This window comes from Homo sapiens, chromosome 10, assembly GCF_000001405.40.
Source record: "Homo sapiens chromosome 10, GRCh38.p14 Primary Assembly".
NCBI lineage: Eukaryota > Metazoa > Chordata > Mammalia > Primates > Hominidae > Homo > Homo sapiens.
The window spans coordinates 86,719,224-86,736,586 of record NC_000010.11 but is presented as its reverse complement, the minus strand read 5'-3'; the positions used below and the strand labels follow the sequence as shown (position 1 = coordinate 86,736,586).

The 17,363-nt window shown below is 44.7% G+C and overlaps 1 protein-coding gene across 6 annotated transcripts in view; it reads right to left on the bottom strand.

Annotated features, from left to right (window-relative positions):
* LDB3 (LIM domain binding 3) overlaps positions 515 to 17,363 on the bottom strand; it is a 69,285-nt gene continuing 52,436 nt past the window's right edge. For all 6 annotated transcript variants that reach the window (NM_001368064.1, NM_001171610.2, NM_007078.3 and 3 more), the window contains 2 exons: positions 10,335 to 10,450; positions 515 to 3,700 (listed from right to left, as the gene is read on the bottom strand). In NM_001368064.1, the coding sequence (NP_001354993.1) occupies positions 3,611 to 3,700; positions 10,335 to 10,450 (206 nt within the window). In that variant the 3' untranslated portion in view covers positions 515 to 3,610. The remainder of the gene's footprint in view (positions 3,701 to 10,334; positions 10,451 to 17,363) is intronic.

Below are 17,363 nucleotides of genomic sequence, written 5' to 3'. Positions count from 1 at the left end.
CTTTACTCTTCAGTAATTTCTAGAAACAGAATACCTTGAAAAAGAATGAGTTTGATTTTGTTAAACATAGTACCCTCAGAAGGGTCTTCATTATTAAAAAGAAAAAAAAATTCTATGAGAGGTCTTTACTCTGAACTTATTTGAAAACAAATGATGTAAGAGGAAATATGGCAACTTTTCTAGAAATGAAGCCATTTAGAGCAGAATAGAAATAAATTAATTGGAAATATTTTACCGCCAAGTAGCTAAGTTAACAAACCTTTATGGAAATATAATGCGAGATGAGGTCTTTGGTTTATTATTTGCCTGGTAATTCCCTTTGTATGCAGAACATTCGTGTTATTCACATATCCTTGTCTGTTTAAACATGGTGATTACACTGCTATTGAGCATCAGGGCAAGCAAGTTGTGTTTATTCCCACAGAATGTTTTGTTTTGTCTCCAACTTTTATTTGTGGCCATATAGAAGTAAGCTACTTCTGATGTGACATGAAAAATTTTACACAGAAAAATCTGTATTTGCACATCCTTTGGGGGGCTTTATTTTTGCTAAAAAGTAGAATTCACACAGGCAAAAAAAAAAACACATGCAAAATATTTTTGTGCACACCTTTAACAGGCTACATTCCACTTCTGAAATGTTTCCAAAAACAAAACAAAAAATCCCAAAGCCAGAATACTGAGTTAAAAAGTTAACACATTATAAAAGCTAGGTTCCTAACACAAACACTGCAGATATAAGCTGCAGATATAAGTCACTCCATTGCAAAAAGTTGTGATTATAATTTTTTTTTTTTTTTTTTTTTTGCAACGGAGTTTCGCTCCTGTTGCCCAGGCTGGAGTGCAATGGCATAATCTCGGCTCACTGCAACCTCCGCCTCCAGGATTCAGGAGATTCCTGCCTCAGCCTCCCAAGTAGCTGGAACTACAGGCGCCTGCCACCACACCTGGCTAATTTTGTGTATTTTTAGTAGAGATGGGGTTTCACCATATTGGCCAGGCTGGTTTCAAACTCCTGACCTCAGGTGATTCACCTGCCTCGGCCTCCCAAAGTGCTGGGATAACAGGCGTGAGCCACTGTGCCTGGCCTATAAATGTTTAATTAATGTCAACAATGAGGAGACAAGAAATGTAGCTCCAAAGTGTGCTCCCCACCATGGATTATGAAAAATTTTGTTTAGTGTTGTAGGACATCCAAATGTAAACTTGAGCTAGACACGGCCTTACTCCTGACACTACACCAGACTCACAGACACTGAGTGAACCACACTCAAAACTACCTTCTTTTCCTGCTACCTTTTAAGTGGTTTTTTTTTTGTTTTTTTGTTTTTTTTTTGCTAGTTTTGTCTTTTTGGCAAATAGGAGTCCCTCAGAATCTACACTTGCTCTGAAATGTAGAAAAATTGATTCAATAAAGGACGGTGGTGAAACCGTCCTTTGAGATATTTTACTTTTCTTCTTAAAGAGCATACACTTTTTAATGATCGTGTGTGTGTGTGTGTGTGTGTGTGTGTGTGTGTGTGTGTGTGTGTGTAAACCCTTTAAAAAGAGATTTTGGAAACTGAATTCTGGGAACGTTTTTTTTTTTTTTTCCTTCCTCAAGACCAGCCCCTGATAATTGAATAGATAGTTTTTGGAGAAAATGACTTAGAGCCTGTCAGTACAGTCAGCAACCTCCTTGTCCCTGCATATTTGAACTTTCCAAAAATAACAGAATGCTCCAAGGTACTTGTCTGCAGCTCCTGACAAATCTCCAGGCAGTCCCAGCAGATTTTACTCTGCCTGCTGCTTTGTATTCACCTTCTCACAGATCCAAAGGTAGGAAGGGCCCTGTGGCAGGAGCACATCCATGTCCCTTCCTGATGCTCCCTGGGGGAGACTGGTGGCTTCGTGCTTGGAAAAAATAGGGGCTTCCTGCAGCTAGGGACATAGCTAGCTGCTTCCTTCTCCCTCATGGAGAAGAGACAGGTAAGATGGCAATCCCCTGGAAGTCTCAGTCCTTAGAAGAAAAGAGTTCTAATACATTCCCATAAAACATTTCAAACATGCAAAGAGAAAAATCCAAAACAGGAGTGAGGACAGAATAGAGTGAGTTGGAAGAGAGCCTAAATATCGTGCTCAAGTGAGAAACATCCACGCAAGTGCCTGCTTCAATGCCATGTTTTCAATGAGCATATTAACAGGGCTTCCTAAAAAGGGAAGCGACTACACTGTTTCCAACCACAGAATCTAAGCTGCCTTCTTTATCACCAAACAGCTTTAAGATGCTTACCTAACTCAAACTATCACTAGTATAAAGTAGTTTGAAGGCCCCTCTACTTCAATAAATACTTAAATAATAGCTAGATCAACTCAGCTCATACATTTTCAAAATATTGGCCAAAACAGCAAATGCATATATATCAGTGCATCTGTCCCTTCCAGCAGTTAACACAATTGTACAAACTCAGTGTGCTGCATTTAAAGGAACATTTGAAAAGGATGATGCAGACCTGAAGGTGGGAGGTCCTGCCTCCTCGTGTGTTCTTACTGAGGGTGGCAGAAAGTAAGTTTCCTCTTCCCCACCCAGAGTTTGGGCATGTGAGCCTATTCTGCCATCCTGTTTCAGACACTGTCTCTCTGTCTCTCTTCTTTTCCACAGGCCACCAAGCCTATTTGAGATGGAGGGTACTGGGGGAGACGTCATAAGTGAGCAGTCACAAGTTGGGGTGAAATTCATGCACACGACTGGACACTCATGCTAACGAACCCTTAAAGCTAAACAAAGGCCAAAGACAACCCAAAGCCTTTAAAAAAATCTCTCACACACCACAGAGCAAAACTGGAAAAACCCAACTCTACTTTCCCATCACAATTCAAAAAGGAGCTAAGCCTTCTGGGGATGTTGGATGTTTCAGACTGAGAGAGGGTGGCTGACAGGGCCATCTTTTCTCAGCTGTCTGCAACCTGAGCCAGAGCCCTTCCTGGAGCCCTGGCAATTGCCCAGTGGCTCCCAGAAGACATCTCTTTGGACGTCCGGGCTCCCAAGAAGGTTTTAAGTTTGTTCAAGGTCTGAAGTCTGATGCGCAGAGGTAGCTCCATGACGCTAGTAATGGAATAACACTTCCTTTTTTGGTGAGGAAAGCCCAATGGGTCTTAGCTAACAAGCTCTCAGCTATGACTCTAAAAATACCCTGCAGCGAGTGCTGTTTGGCACTTCAATTTGTTTGCCAGGGGAGCGCTTAAGAACTCCGCAGAATGCTTCAGATTCTCCACAGCTGCTCTAAGCTCTGTCCTCCTCTGGTGACCAAAGCAAGTGTATCGCTTTGGGAAAGCTGCTTGTTGCTTTTCACTTTTGAGTTCTTGGAATTCTGCTCTAAATGTCTGAAGTACAATTCCAGTCTTGGATTAATAACTAGCTTGGTTTTGAGTCTTCATTTGGCTCCTAGTCTGAACTATGCAAATGCACGATCTGTGTACAGAAGAAAAAACCTAAAATTATACTTCCAAAGGGCTCAGTCGCTTCCTCTCTCTCCCCATTCCCCTCAGAAGAAACATCAGCCTCCCGAATCCTTTGTTGCCAGCAGCAGGAGCAGCTCCGGGCCTCGTCAGCACAGGCGGCCTTGGCCGCCTACAAGTTGATGGTGTGTGCGTGCTTCTTGCACAGGGGTCTGTCCTTCTTGGAGTAGAACGGCTGCCCCTCCAGATTCACATGGCAGACCTGGAGCAGAGAACAGACCTGCGTGAGACCCACGTGGCACAGGGCATGAGCAGATTTCAATCACTTTTTTAAGAAAACGCCCTGGCCAGGCGTGGTGGCTCAGTCCTGTAATCCCAGCACTTTGGAAGGCCAAGGCAGGCAGATCACTTGAGGTCAGGAGTCCAAGACCAGCCTGGCCAACATGGCGAAACTCCATCTCTACTAAAAATACAAAAATTAGCCAGGGGCATGTTGCCATGTGCCTGTAATCCCAGCTACTCGGGAGGTTGAGGCAGAAGAATCTCTTGAACCCGGGAGACAGAGGTTGCAGTGAGCTGTGATTGTGCCACTGCACTCCAGCCTGGGCAACATAGCAAGACTGTCTAAAGCAAACAAACAAACAAACAAACAGCCTTGCCCCATGCATTCTAGAGAAAAGGCAACAGCCTATTTCTCCCACTATGAATTCTTAATGACGGAAGCAGAGTACATGAGTTGGACTATATAAAAACTAAGATTCCTGAAGAACAGAATAAAATCAAATGAAATTAATTAAATTTAATGGAATAGAGAAAATATACACTATGAAGCTGACCAATTCATGCTATCTAAAATAGCATGAATAGAGTCAATACAAGTTCACAAGTCAATATACCACAGAGAGGATTCACGTCTAAAGAAAATCATTAGTAAACTAACAAACACATCAGAGAAGATTGTACTCACTAATAATTAAAGAAAAAGCAAATTAAAACTCCCCTGACTCCAGGCGCAGTAGCTGATGCCTGTAATCCCTACACTTTGGAAGGCCAAGGCAGGAGGATCGTTTGAGGCCAGGTGTTTGAGACCAGCCTGGGCAACATAGTGAGCCTCTGTCTCTACCAAAAAAAAAAAAAAAGAAAAAGAAAGAAAGAAAAGAAAATTAGTTAAAAAAATTACAAGAAAAACTGCCCTGAGATACCACTAGACACATATTAATCTAGCAAGACAAATAAAACAAAAAAACCTCAATGGCCTGTCACCTTTAACCTAATATGCCTGTAGCCAAAAAGCTTAAAAAAAAAAAAAGTATTCAATCAAAAATCAGCAATGCCAAAAAGGAACAAGGCCTACTCGTGCACTGCTAGAGACATGTGAGTGAGCTCAGTGTTCCATAGGGAATCTGGCCATGTTGAACAAGAACCATTGAGATGTGACTACCCTGTAACCCAGTAATGCCACGCTAGAGAATTTTATCCTGCAGAAGCAACTCTGCAGAACAACAAAACAACCTGTGCTCAACTAGAAACTGAAAACTAGTAAAATTTCTCTCAATAGGAAGATGATTCAGTAAATTTTCATGGTGTATTTTTCCAATGGAATGCCACCATTTAAAAAGAGAGATGGGCCAGGCATGGTGGCTCACGCCTGCAATCCCAGCATTTTGGAAGGCCGAGGCAGGAGGACCACGAGATCAGGAGTTTGAGATCAGCCTGACCAACATGGTGAAACCTTGTCTCTACTAAAAATACAAAAATTAGCCGGGTGTGGTGGTGCGCACTGGTAATCCCAGCTACTCAGGAGGCTGAGGCAGGAGAATCACTTGAACCCGGAAGACGGAGGTTTCAGTGAGCTGAGATCATGCCACTGTACCCAAGCCTGGGCGACAGAGCGAGATTCCGTCTCAAAAAAAAAAAAAAAAAGGTAGATATGGAAAAGTATGCAGAGAAATATACAAAAAAACAAAAGAGATGAAATTCTTTTTTTTTTTTTTGAGATGGAGTCTCACTCTGTCACCCAGGCTGGAGTGCAGTGGCGCGATCTCAGCTCACTGCAACCTCTGCCTCCCGGGTTCAAGCAATTCTCCTGCCTCAGCCTCCCTAGTAGCTGGGATTACAGGCGCCCACCACCATACTCAGCTAATTTTTTTTGTAGTTTAGTAGAGACAGGGTTTCACCATGTTGGCCAGGCTGGTTTCAAACTCCTGACCCCAAGCAATCCACCTGCTTTGGCCTCCCAAAGTGCTGGGATTACAGGCGTGAGCCACCACGCCCAGCCCAAGAGATGAAATTCTATATCCCCATGATGACAACATATAGTCTGAGGCTGGAGGCATCCCAGAAAGAAGAGAACTAATTAATATTTGTGGGGACTACCATGGACCAAGCAGGATGCCAGACACTCTATATACAGCAGCTCATTTAATTCTCATGAAAACCTTATAAGGTAGGTAAGCCTTTCTCCCACTTCACAGCTGAAAAAACTGGGGCTCAGAGGGCCCATACGTCTTCCTTAAGTCACAGACCTAGTAAGTTGTAGGCTGGGAATCTCTGTCCATGTCTGTAAGACTCCAGTTCTATGCTAATTTTTCCCCTACCCCATAGAAGAAAGGGACTGTGTTTACTTGAAATTGATCTGGGTTCATGGGTTTGTACAGATGTAGCCCTCTGAGTTTGCTGGACTACTAGTATGTAAGCTGGGCCCTGGGTTGGCAATATGCCAGTAGGTCAGAGTCTGCCAGGAAATCACATTGGCTGGCATGGGTCCCAGCTTAGGAGAGGGCAGTGAAGATCCCTGCTGGGGGGCAGAATTGGGAGCCATCTCCAGGACACTGACATCAAGAGGAGTGCACGTGGAGTCCCCACATACAGGTATCCCCCATGGAGACAGAGAAATCACCCCCTTGAGTTGAGCTTGGGGCAATATGCATGTATTCAGTCCAAGAGAGTTGGAGAGGAAAAGGGCACCACGCTAGCCCCATGTGCAAGGCTCTGATGGTCCAGTTGGGGACGTTATACCTAGGATCACACAGGGCTTCCAATTGGGTTCTGGGAGCCAATGAGCTGCAAAAGTGTTTGAAAACATCCCAGGTGGATGCAGTGATGCTGAGTATAACCAGGCTCGTGTGGAGGCCTCAAGCTGCTGGTGACAATTTAAAGACTATGCAAAAAGATGGACATCCAAGATCTAACTGGTGAGAATGGGCTTTAGGGAAGACAGAAAGGCATCTCTGGAATGAGTCAGCCTGTCAATGACTGCAGCTGTGGGTGGGAGACCATACCTGGACTGGGACAATGCTGGTTGCTTGTGAGAACTTTGGGATGAGTCAGGCTGGGGAGAGAAGGTGTCCAGGGACTGAAGACCAACAAATGAGAAAGGGACAGAACCTCAAAGATGGCTCATAGGTGAGATGGGGCTGAGGGTGGGAACCCTCATAAGGAGTTGTGCCCAGTGTCTTCTTGGTGCAAGGTGGCTTCATAGTGGAGGAGGCCTTCTGCCCACCCAGCACAGGGGGCAACAGGGATGGTCCAACCCCCAGGCTCTGTGGCTGGGTGACATCAGGGCCTGGCTATAAAAGGGTAGCGACCATGGACAGTGCTGACTGCAAGTCCCAGCAGAGTTAGGGTAATAAACTAGGCCAGCTGCAGCAGCCCCTAGGTCTGCCTACAAAAGTTATATTACTGCCCATCCCCTCCTGATACCCACACCAGTGGGGAAGGGCAAGACTTAGAGCAAAAGAGGGATGGGTAAGACATTTTTCCTCCACTAAGGTCGGACCCTTTCCATTGGAACTCAAGTGTCGACGCCAGACAGAAGCTTAACTTTCACCCTGACCCACAGTGCACTTCTCAGGCTCCCAGCCTTCACTTTATATGCTTTGGACTTGAGGGATACTGTCCTGTTCTACTTTTGAATTGCTCACATCTGTTGCTTTGTTCACCTTTCAAGATTCTAGATTCCGTCAGGGTAGAGACTTGTTCTGGAACACTCTTGTACTGCCCAAATGCCAGGAATATTTGGTAAACTGAGTTAGTCTAAAGAATGTGCTATCCTGAGATCTCACTGGTTAGAAAACAGCACATCAGCTGGGAGAGCTACCCCAGATCTTTCTCTTACTAATTTTTTGGAAGTTACAGGAAAATACATGCTCATCAAAAGTGATTTGGAAATATGAAGTGATAGAAAGAGGACCAAAAAAAAAAAAATCCCTCAAGTCCCTCAAAGTTTTCCAATCAAAAGATTTCTTCCTAATGTTAAGACCATGTTCCGGCTGGGTGTGGTGGCTCACACCTGTAATCCCAGCACTTTGGGAGGCCGAGGTGGGTGGCTCATGAGGTCAGGAGTTCAAGACCAGCCTGGCCAAGATGGTGAAACCCCGTCTCTACTAAAAATACAAAAATTAGCCAGGTGTGGTGGCAGGCGCCTATAATCCCAGCTACTCAGGAGCCTGAGGCAGAGAATTGCTTGAACCTGGGAGGTGGAGGTTGCAGTGAGCCAAGATCGCACCACTGCACTCCAGCCTGGCGACAGAGCAAGACTTTGTCTCAAAAAAAAAAAAAAACAAAAGAACCATGTTCCACTTTGCTATATGTTGACAGAGCAGTGAGTATCATGCAGGCTGGTTTGGAGGGAGACCTAACGATCTCCATGTTGATCCTCTAAAGGGCAGTGCTATGGGCCTCTCACAGGCTGGACTTCACTCTCTGGAACTTATTTGTAATATCAGCCTTAGCCACCCCAAGCTTTACGCCTTCTTCTGGTCTCTCTCTTGGACTTTTGCTGTTGTGACTCAGCTGAAATTGCGAGGCTTGCAGAAGCAGACCCACACTCACCTTTGCCACGATTCCCTCTGCATGTGACACAGACCTCTCATCAGCCTGCCCATGGAAAACAGGCCTTCTGTGCCACTGTCTTCCTGGACCTTCCCCAAGTCTCTTGGATCCTTCCAGAAGTTGGGTAACCAGATGTGCAGGCAGTGCCTCAGGACTAGACAAGCCATGGCTTGAATGTAAGGTTCAGAGACCCCTGTGCTGTGCCTGACACAGGGGAGCTATGACTCTGCAGGGGACAAACCCAAAGCCAGTATACTTACACCATTGTCTCTTTTTGGAGGGGATGTATTTAAAACACCCTAAAAGACAACTAGAGAATCTGTTCAAAGAGCTAGAAAATCAGAGTGTTAAGGGGTTGAATTGTATTCCACAAAATTCACGTGCAAGAAGGCAGAGTTTGCCGTGAGCTGTGATCACGCCATTGCACCCCAGCCTGGGCAACAAGAGGGAAACTCCATCTCAAAAAAAAAATAAAAAAAAAAAGGAGACCCACACAGAGACAGACACACTCAGAGGAGAATGTCATGTGAAGACACACACAGAGGGGAGACAGGCTTGTGACAATGGAGGCAGGGATTGGAGTTACACAGCTGCAAGCCAAGAAATGCCAAGGATTGCTAGCAACCGCTAGTAGCTCGGAGAGAGACTATGGCCTCCTGTCAGCACCTTGATTTAGGACTTCTGGCCTCCTGAACTGTGAAAGCATTCATTTCTGTTGTTTGAGCCATCAGTTTGCAGTAATTTGTCAAGACAGCCCTAGCAAACCGACACACAGAGTGAATACAGTGTGTCCCACAGATGGCGGGGTATGGAAGCGAAGTGTGGAACCAAAAGTATATGGCCGTAAACTTTATGACTAGGGTCATCCTATGTCAGAAGTCTATAAAAATTATTCAAGTAAAAACTGTACAGATATTTCATACATTTCCAAAATTTACCTTGAGACACTCTGGTTAAAAAAAAAATAGTAGAGGTGTCTTAATTTTCCCAAATCAGCCAGGCGTGGTGGCTCACGCCTGTATTCCCACAACTTGGGGAGGCCAAGGTGGGTGAATCACCTGAGGTCAGGAGTTTGAGACCAGTCTGGCCAACATGGTGAAATCCCCTCTCTACTAAAAATACACAAAATTAGCCAGGCATGGTGGCATGTGCCTGTAGTCCCAGCTACTCAGGAGGCTAAAGCAGAAGAATCGCTTGAACCCAGGAGGCAGAGGTTGCAATGAACCGAGATCATGCCACTGTACTCCAGCCTGGGCAACAAGAGCAGAAACTCTATCTCAAAAAAAAAAAAAAAAAAATTCTCAAATCGAGATTAGGCAATGACAGATTGACATTAGGGGGCTTTCTCAGGGATGACTGTTTCCTACCTCTCCTTCAGAGTCTAAATGTCTGTAGGCTCACCATCATGTGCCCACCCCAACCCAAAACCCTCAGAAGGAAAATGCCAGTCTCATACTAAAAGTGACCCGGCTGTTCAGCAGAAATAAGTAGCACACAGTTAATAGTTAATCCAGGGCTTATCTCCTGGCAGCTATATATCAGGAAAGGACCACTTAGGAAAATAAAATGGTACTCAGTCTTGCTTTCCAAAGGTGCTACCAAGAGAAACCCTATCTCAGCTTTTCATAGGATTAGTCAGCTCCAATCTAGTGTTTGGGGTAACAATTTGGAGGGGAAAACCTTCAAGTCACTCCATCATATCTGAAGTGACATATAACCATGGGAAGCCAACTGCCCCTCTCAAAGCCAAGCATCATCTGCTGCTTTTGCCCGCTGACAACACTGCTGGTGAGACAAGCCGCTGGTTTGCCAAACCCTGGGACACTCTGTTGTCCTTAACGAAATGGAAAGTAACAAAGCCACATTGGTTTATAAATAATTATTAGGAATGAAACTTTGTTCGACTGTGATGTATCGAGGCATCATGGTGTTTGCCAGCTTTTAAAAATGATCAGGATGTCAGAAAGCTAGCGTGGCAAGGTATGTAGAGGTTGGTCATCTGGCTCCCACTTCCTCCCTCCTGCCTCTTCTCAGAAAGCCAGAGCCCCAAGCTAGAGACATACTGCGCAAATGAAGCAGGTGTCGTGCCAAGTGTGGCCCAGGGCTTCGATAAACTTGTCGCCAGCCTCCACGGGGAAATCGCAGCCATGGCACTTGGTGCTGAACAGATTGATGTAGTCTGAAATGAAAAGCAGAGTGAAGACCCCGCACCCAGTGGGGGCAGCGGGGACCCAAAGCCAAGACAAACCCCAAATCAGTGGGCAGAAGCAGGGGGTGAAATCTAATTGGTTGTTTGTCATCTCACAGATGAAATACTCAGTTACATGACTGATAGTTTTCCATTTTCCAATCATTGCATTGATGTTGTTCAGACCCAGGCTTAGACACCATCTTGTGCTGGTTTGATTTGCAAACACTTTCTGGAATTGTCATCAACCTTCTGCAGGGAGATTGTCTCCTCTGCTTCTGTCACCTCTAATAGACCAAACGGATCAAGCCCCAAAGAGAAAACAATCCACATTTCCAAACATCTATGCTTAGTTTGGAAGAATGTGGGTCCAACGTATTTAAGAGTTATAGAATTTTCTTTGCTTGGCCATTCTTCTGTCATGGGGCATTTGTGTTGACAACAAGTTTTTACTACTATAAACAGTATTTGAACTACTTTATTGGGGCATGTCCTCCTCCTCCTTCCCTACCCCCAACCAAGGAGATAATGCTATTAAATATTATTGATATGATGCTTTGCAATTTACCAAGCATTTTCACATGGATGGTGTTATTTACAAGTATGTCAATGTCAGGGACTACATCTTAGCTTTCTTTGCACTCCCAGCACAATGCCTGACACACAGTCAATATCCAAAACATATATAGGGAATGAATGCATTAACCAATCAATCAGTTCATCAATGAATGAAACTGATCATCACAAAATCCCTCAGAAATTGAACTATTATTATCTTTTTGTTTTGTTTTGTGGATGAGAAAATTGAGACTCAAAGAGGTGAAGGGCCCAGCCAGCATCCCACAGCTGAAGCACAGTGGGTCAGGTTCTGTGCTCCTTCACCAGGGCAGCTGTCCTCTCTAGGCCCAAAGGGGCTACAGTTCTACCACACTGACTGTAGAACATCTCTAGATTATTCTAGAAAAGCTCCATCCCGTTTACAAAGCCTTCATCCCTCCTGAGAAGTGTACGCATTCCTCCATAACTCTTCCACAGTTGGCTTTTTCTTAAGTGATTTCCTGTTCTTCTTGTGGATAGTATGTCCATTCATTGTCTTAGACCACGTCTTACTGAGTGCCAGTGTGCCATGGGGGTTACAAAATTGGACTCTGAATAAAGGAAGAGCTGGGTTCAAATCCCAACTCTATTAAGAAATGTTCAAACCTGGGGCAAGTGGCGTAACTTCTCAAGGCCTCAACCTTCTCATCTATATAATGGGAATAATTATTGTACCGAACTCATGGGGTTTTGAGTGGATTAAATAAGATAATGTAAGTGAAGTATTTGGCACAAACACTCAAAAATGTTGGCTCTTATTTTGAAAGTCTTCATAACTGATGCAAAGAGGGAAAGGAACAATGATTTGAGTGCCATTATGCCTCCTGTTTAATCCTCATGACATCTCTGTGAAGAGATAATATTCCCTATTTATTTATCTATTTATTTTATTTATTTATTTATTTATTTTTTATTTTTATTTTTTTTTGCGACGGAGTCTCACTCTGTCACCAGGATGGAGTGCAGTGGCATGATGTCGGCTCACTGCAACCTCCGCCTCCTGGGTTCAAGCAATTCTCCTGCCTCAGCCTCCCAAGTAGCTGGGAGGGCAGGCACGCGCCACCACACCCAGCTATATTTTTTTATTTTTAGTAGAGATGGGGCTTCACCATGTTGGCCAGGATGGTCTCGATCTCTTGACCCTGTGATCCACCTGCCTCTGCCTCCCAAAGTTCTGGGATTACAGGCGTGAGCCACCGCGCCCAGCCTATTTATTTTTTGAGGTGGACTCTCACTCTGTCACCCAGGTGGAGTGCAGTGGCACAATCTCAGCTCACTGCAACCTCTGCCTCCCAGGGTTCAAGCAGTTCTCCCACCTCAGCCTCCCAAGTAGCTGGGATTGCAGGCATGTGCCACCACGCCTGGCTAATTTTTGTATTTTCAGTAGAGACGGGGTTTCACCATTTTGGCCAGGCTGGTCTTGAACTCCTGACCTCAAGTGATCCACCTGCCTCGGCCTCCCAAAGTGCTGGGATTACAGGCATGAGCCACCGCGCCCAGCCTAGTATTCCAATTTTAAAGGGGAGGAAACTGACTGGAGAGGTTCCATCACAGAAGTCATAAGGAGTAGCCCCAGTCCTGATGGACTCCAATGTTCATCCTCCTTCTATGGCTTTACGCTGTCTCCAGCTCCTTATCAGCATGGCATTGAGCTTTGATCAGTTACACTTATCTCTTGCATGTGTTTTCCAATATATAGCTTCCCCTTTTGTGCTTAATTGTAGCTTGTCATGCAAATGCTCTTATGTATCCCAGTCCATCAATCTTCTCTGATGGAACACTTAATTTCTTTAGTAGGCAGAAATGCATTGCCTTGCCAGAGCTAAGAAAACATCGTTCTGCTTCCTTTAGAAAGTTACCGCCCAGGTTGCAGTTCACTCTGTGCTCTGCAAGAACTTACTACTATCTGGTATGGGCTGACCCGTCTCCACCTGAGGACAAGCCCTGCACCCACTTACGACTTCTTTCTCATCACTCCCAGGTGGTCTCATGGTGCCCTGGACTTTCTCTTACACCTCCATGCCTCTGTGCAAACCAGGCCCTGGGCTTGAAAAACCATCCCCACTTTCTGTACCTGAGAGAATCTCTGCAATCCTTTGTGCTAGGCTGTCCTTCAGGGAAGTCTTCATGCCCTACATACCCCAACCAAGAGTGATGAGATGGCCTTGCTGAAGGCTTTCCCTGGCCTTCCCTCCTCCATTTATCCATGCATCCTATCCATTCATCCATCATCTCCTTTTTTTTTTTTTTTTTTTTTTTTTTAGATTGAGTCTTGCTCTGTCACACAGGATGGAGTGCAATGATGTGGTCACAGTTCACTGCAACCTCAACTTCCTGGGCTCAAACCATCCTCCCACCTCAGGCTCCTGAGCAGCTGGGACCACAGGTGTGCACCACCACGGTCGGCTACTTTAATTTTTTTTTGTTTTAGAGATGGGGTCTCCCTATATTGTCCAAGCTGTTCTTGAACTCCTGGGCTCAAGGGGTCCTCCTGCCTTGGCCTCCTAAAGTACTATGATTACAGGCGTGAGCCACCAAGCTGGGCTGTGTTCCATATTTAAATAAATATAAAAATTAAATTAAATGGTTCAAACAACCTAATTAAATAGTGATTCCTTCTCTTACTGGCTTTTCACAGATTAAGCTATTAAAGTGGCTTGAATTGGCCAGGTGCGGTGGCTCACGCCTGTAATCCCAGCACTTTGGGAGGTCGAGGCAGGTAGATCACGAGGTCAGGAGTTCAAGACCAGCCTGGCCAAGATGGTGAAATCCCCCATCTCTACTAATAATATAAAAATTAGCCAGGCGTGTTGGTGGGAGCCTGTAATCCCAGCTACTTGGGAGGCTGAGACAGAGAATTGCTTGAACCCAGAAGGCGGAGGTTGCAGTGAGTCAAGATAGCATGCCACTGTACTCCAGCCTGGGTGACAGAGCAAGACTCTGTCTCAAAAAAAAAAAAAAAAAAAAAAAAGGCCAGGCACGGTGGCTCACGCCTGTAATCCCAGCACTTTGGGAGGCCAAGGTGGGCGGATCACGAGATCAGGAGATCGAGACCATCCTGGCTAACATGGTGAAACCCTGTCTCTACCAAAAATACAAAAAATTAGCTGGGTGCAGTGGTGGGAGCCTGTAGTCCCAGCTACTTGGGAGGCTGAGGCAGGAGAATTGCATGAACCCCAGAGGCGGAGCTTGCAGTGAGCCAAGATCGCGCCACTGCACTCCAGCCTGGGCAACAGAGCGAGACTCCGTCTCAAAAACAAAACAAAACAAAACAAAGGCTTGAATTTACCTCTGGAATGCCTTGTCTTGCCCACTGATTCATTTTTCTGTTTTAAATTTGATTCCATATGATTTGGAGAATTATCGCTTTGTTTTAAAATTTGGTAGCATGGGTCTGATACTAACACATTTTTGTTTAAGTTGGTATTTTTCTTCACAACTTCTGCAAAAGTTATTTCTGCAAAAGGAGAACATTGCTGGTACCGAACAAAGTCTGTGCATGGGCCTTTTCCACAAGGAGTATAATCTAGCTCCTCATATATTTATTCCTTCCTTTATTTCTCCCTTTAAGTCTTTCTAATTTTCTTTGACTCTCTCTTGTCCCAAGCTGAATTACTACCCTCACATTTAATGGATTTTATTGCTATTGTAAAAGGATTTCTGTCCATCAAATTGCAGGTGCTCTGTGTTGAAAAGGGGCTTGGTACTTTTCTAGAGCAATGGTTCCCAAACATCAGAAGCACATGGAGGGTTTGTTGAAACACAGCGTGCCAGGCTCCCCTCCAGAGTTTCTGATTCACCAGATCTGGGGTGGGGCCTGAAGATCTGCATTTCTAACAAGTTCTCAGGTGATGTTGCTGCTGGTGTTGGGACCACACTTTGAGAAACACTTCTGATTCCCACACCTAACTGAAACACCTGGGTAGGGTGGGGCACCCTACGAAATGCTGCTTCTGTGGGTCTGAGGTAGGTCTGAAACAATCTATTTTCTCTCTAGTTTGTTAAGTTCCCTAGGTGACCATGATGCCAGGTTTGGGAACTGCTCGGGTGCAGGTTCATCTGTGAAGGGCTGACCCACCTATCTCTCTTCTTTATATGCAGATGTCAGCTTATCTTTGCAGCCAGCTGAAGCATTTTTCAGCCTAGACCCTATCATTCTGGCTCAATCTGCAGATTTGACAGGACTCCCTTCTGTGTCTTCTTCCAAATTGTTGATTAAAATGACGAGACGTAAAAATGAAGTTTCACCTCATACCCGTTAGGATAGCTACTATTTTTTAAAAAACAGAAAATAACAAGTGTTTGCAAGGCTGCGGAGAAATTGGAACCTTTATTCTCTGTTAATGGGTTTGTAACACAGTGCAGCCGTTATGGAAAACAGTATGAGGTTCCTTACAAAATCAAAAATAGAACAGAATCAAAAATAGGCACGGTGGCTCATGCCTGTAATCCCAGCACTTCAGGAGGCCAAGGCAGGAGGATTGCTTGAGCCCTGGATTTCAAGACCAGCCTGGGCAACATAGCAAGACCTCATCTCTACAAAAAATGATGAAAATTAGCTAGGCATGGTAGCGGATGTCTAAAGTTCCATCTACAGGCTGAGGTGGGAGGATCAACTGGGTCTCTCCAGTTACCTAGGTCTGAAGGTAAATCTGCTTCCTCACTGTCTTCTCTTAACACTAGACCGTCTTCTTCCTGGATCTTCTTACTCAAAACATCATTTTTGAGAATCTTTTCGGGGGAGTTGCTATGATGAGGGGCAGCAGTGATAATGGAAATCTATCATTCTTTCAAAAGCCTCAGACACAAATTGCGGCTTATCTCAAATAATAGAAGTTATAATGCTTTTAGTAGAAGAATAACAGCAAGTTGTATAAGCATAACAGCTCTTTCTTTAACTACCGATCAATATCATATGCTCATGAGAAAGGAAAGGTCTGGTATTATCTTCTCCCTTTTACAGATATAGAAACTGAGGCACAGAGTAAGTGACTTGTTTCAGGTCATTCAGTTAACTTCAGAGCTGGGAAGGGCATTCACTAGTACAAGAACCCAAGACGTTTCTTTTCTTTCTTTCTTTTTTTTTTCAGATGGAGTCTTACTGTGTTGCCCAGGCTGGAGTGCAACGGCAGTATCTCAGCTCACTGCAACCTCTGCCTCCCGGGTTCAAGCGATTCTTCAACCTCAGCCTCCCGAGTAGCTGGGATTACAGACGCCCGCCATCATGCTCGGCTAATTTTCGTATTTTTGTAGAGATGGGGTTTCACCATTTTGGCCAGGCTGGTCTTGAACTCCTGACCTCAGGTGATTCGCCTGCCTTGGCCTCTCAAAGTGCTGGGATTACAGGCGTGAGCCACCGCGCCCAGCCAAAACGTTTATTTTCTAATTTACAGTCAGGGGAAAGAAGTTTTATTTTGTTTTGCTTTTTCCCTTGAGGAACTGAATGTTTTCTCCTTTCTGATTTTAAAGTAAACTAACTTACTGTGTTTCTCTTTTTGCCCTCAAATTTGCTACCCAGTTAGTCCCTGCAGCTCTGTTATTCTTCATAATCAGCATGCCTGCTTTTCCCGCCTCTGATTTTCTGGTTCTACTGTCTTAGCCTTCATGTCTGTGTTACCTTTTCTGGAACCTGCTTCAAATCCTTTCTGAAGGGGGAAGCCTCTGAATAAATGAGTGACTGACTTCCACCTATCTAATGAAGTGCTTTGTCTCTTGAATTTACAATAATTTACTTAGCATTTTAAGATAACATATAGCATTTTGGGGGTACAGAGAAACTCTGAATTCACTCCGTGAGATTACAGGAATCTGCAGGAACATCAAAGTCTGATAAATATCACAGGGGCAGAGGAAGGGGTCTCGCATATTTGATGCTCTACACGCCTTCTCTGGTTTAATCCTCACCACAGCTCTGTAAGGCAGGTGTTTACAGACGAGGAAAGTAAGGCTCAGAGAAGGTTAGTAACTTGCTCAGGTTTACAAAGCAGCCCAAAGTGGAACCAGGAATAGAATGAAGGACAAAGTCCACAGCCAAGGCCTTTTCAGACTAGACCTTGTGGTCTCCAAATCAAAATAACCTGAAAGGTTTCCCAGTGGTCATAAGATGCCAACTTGTGATCTACATTTTTTTTTTTTTTTGAGATACAGGATCTTACTCTGTTGCCTAGGCTGAATACAGTGGTGCTATCACAGGTTACTGCAGCCTCGAACTCCTGGACTCAAGCGACCCTCCCACTTCAGCCTCCTGCGTAGCTGAGACTACAGGCACGCGCCACCACACCTGGCTAATGTTTATATTTTTTGTAGA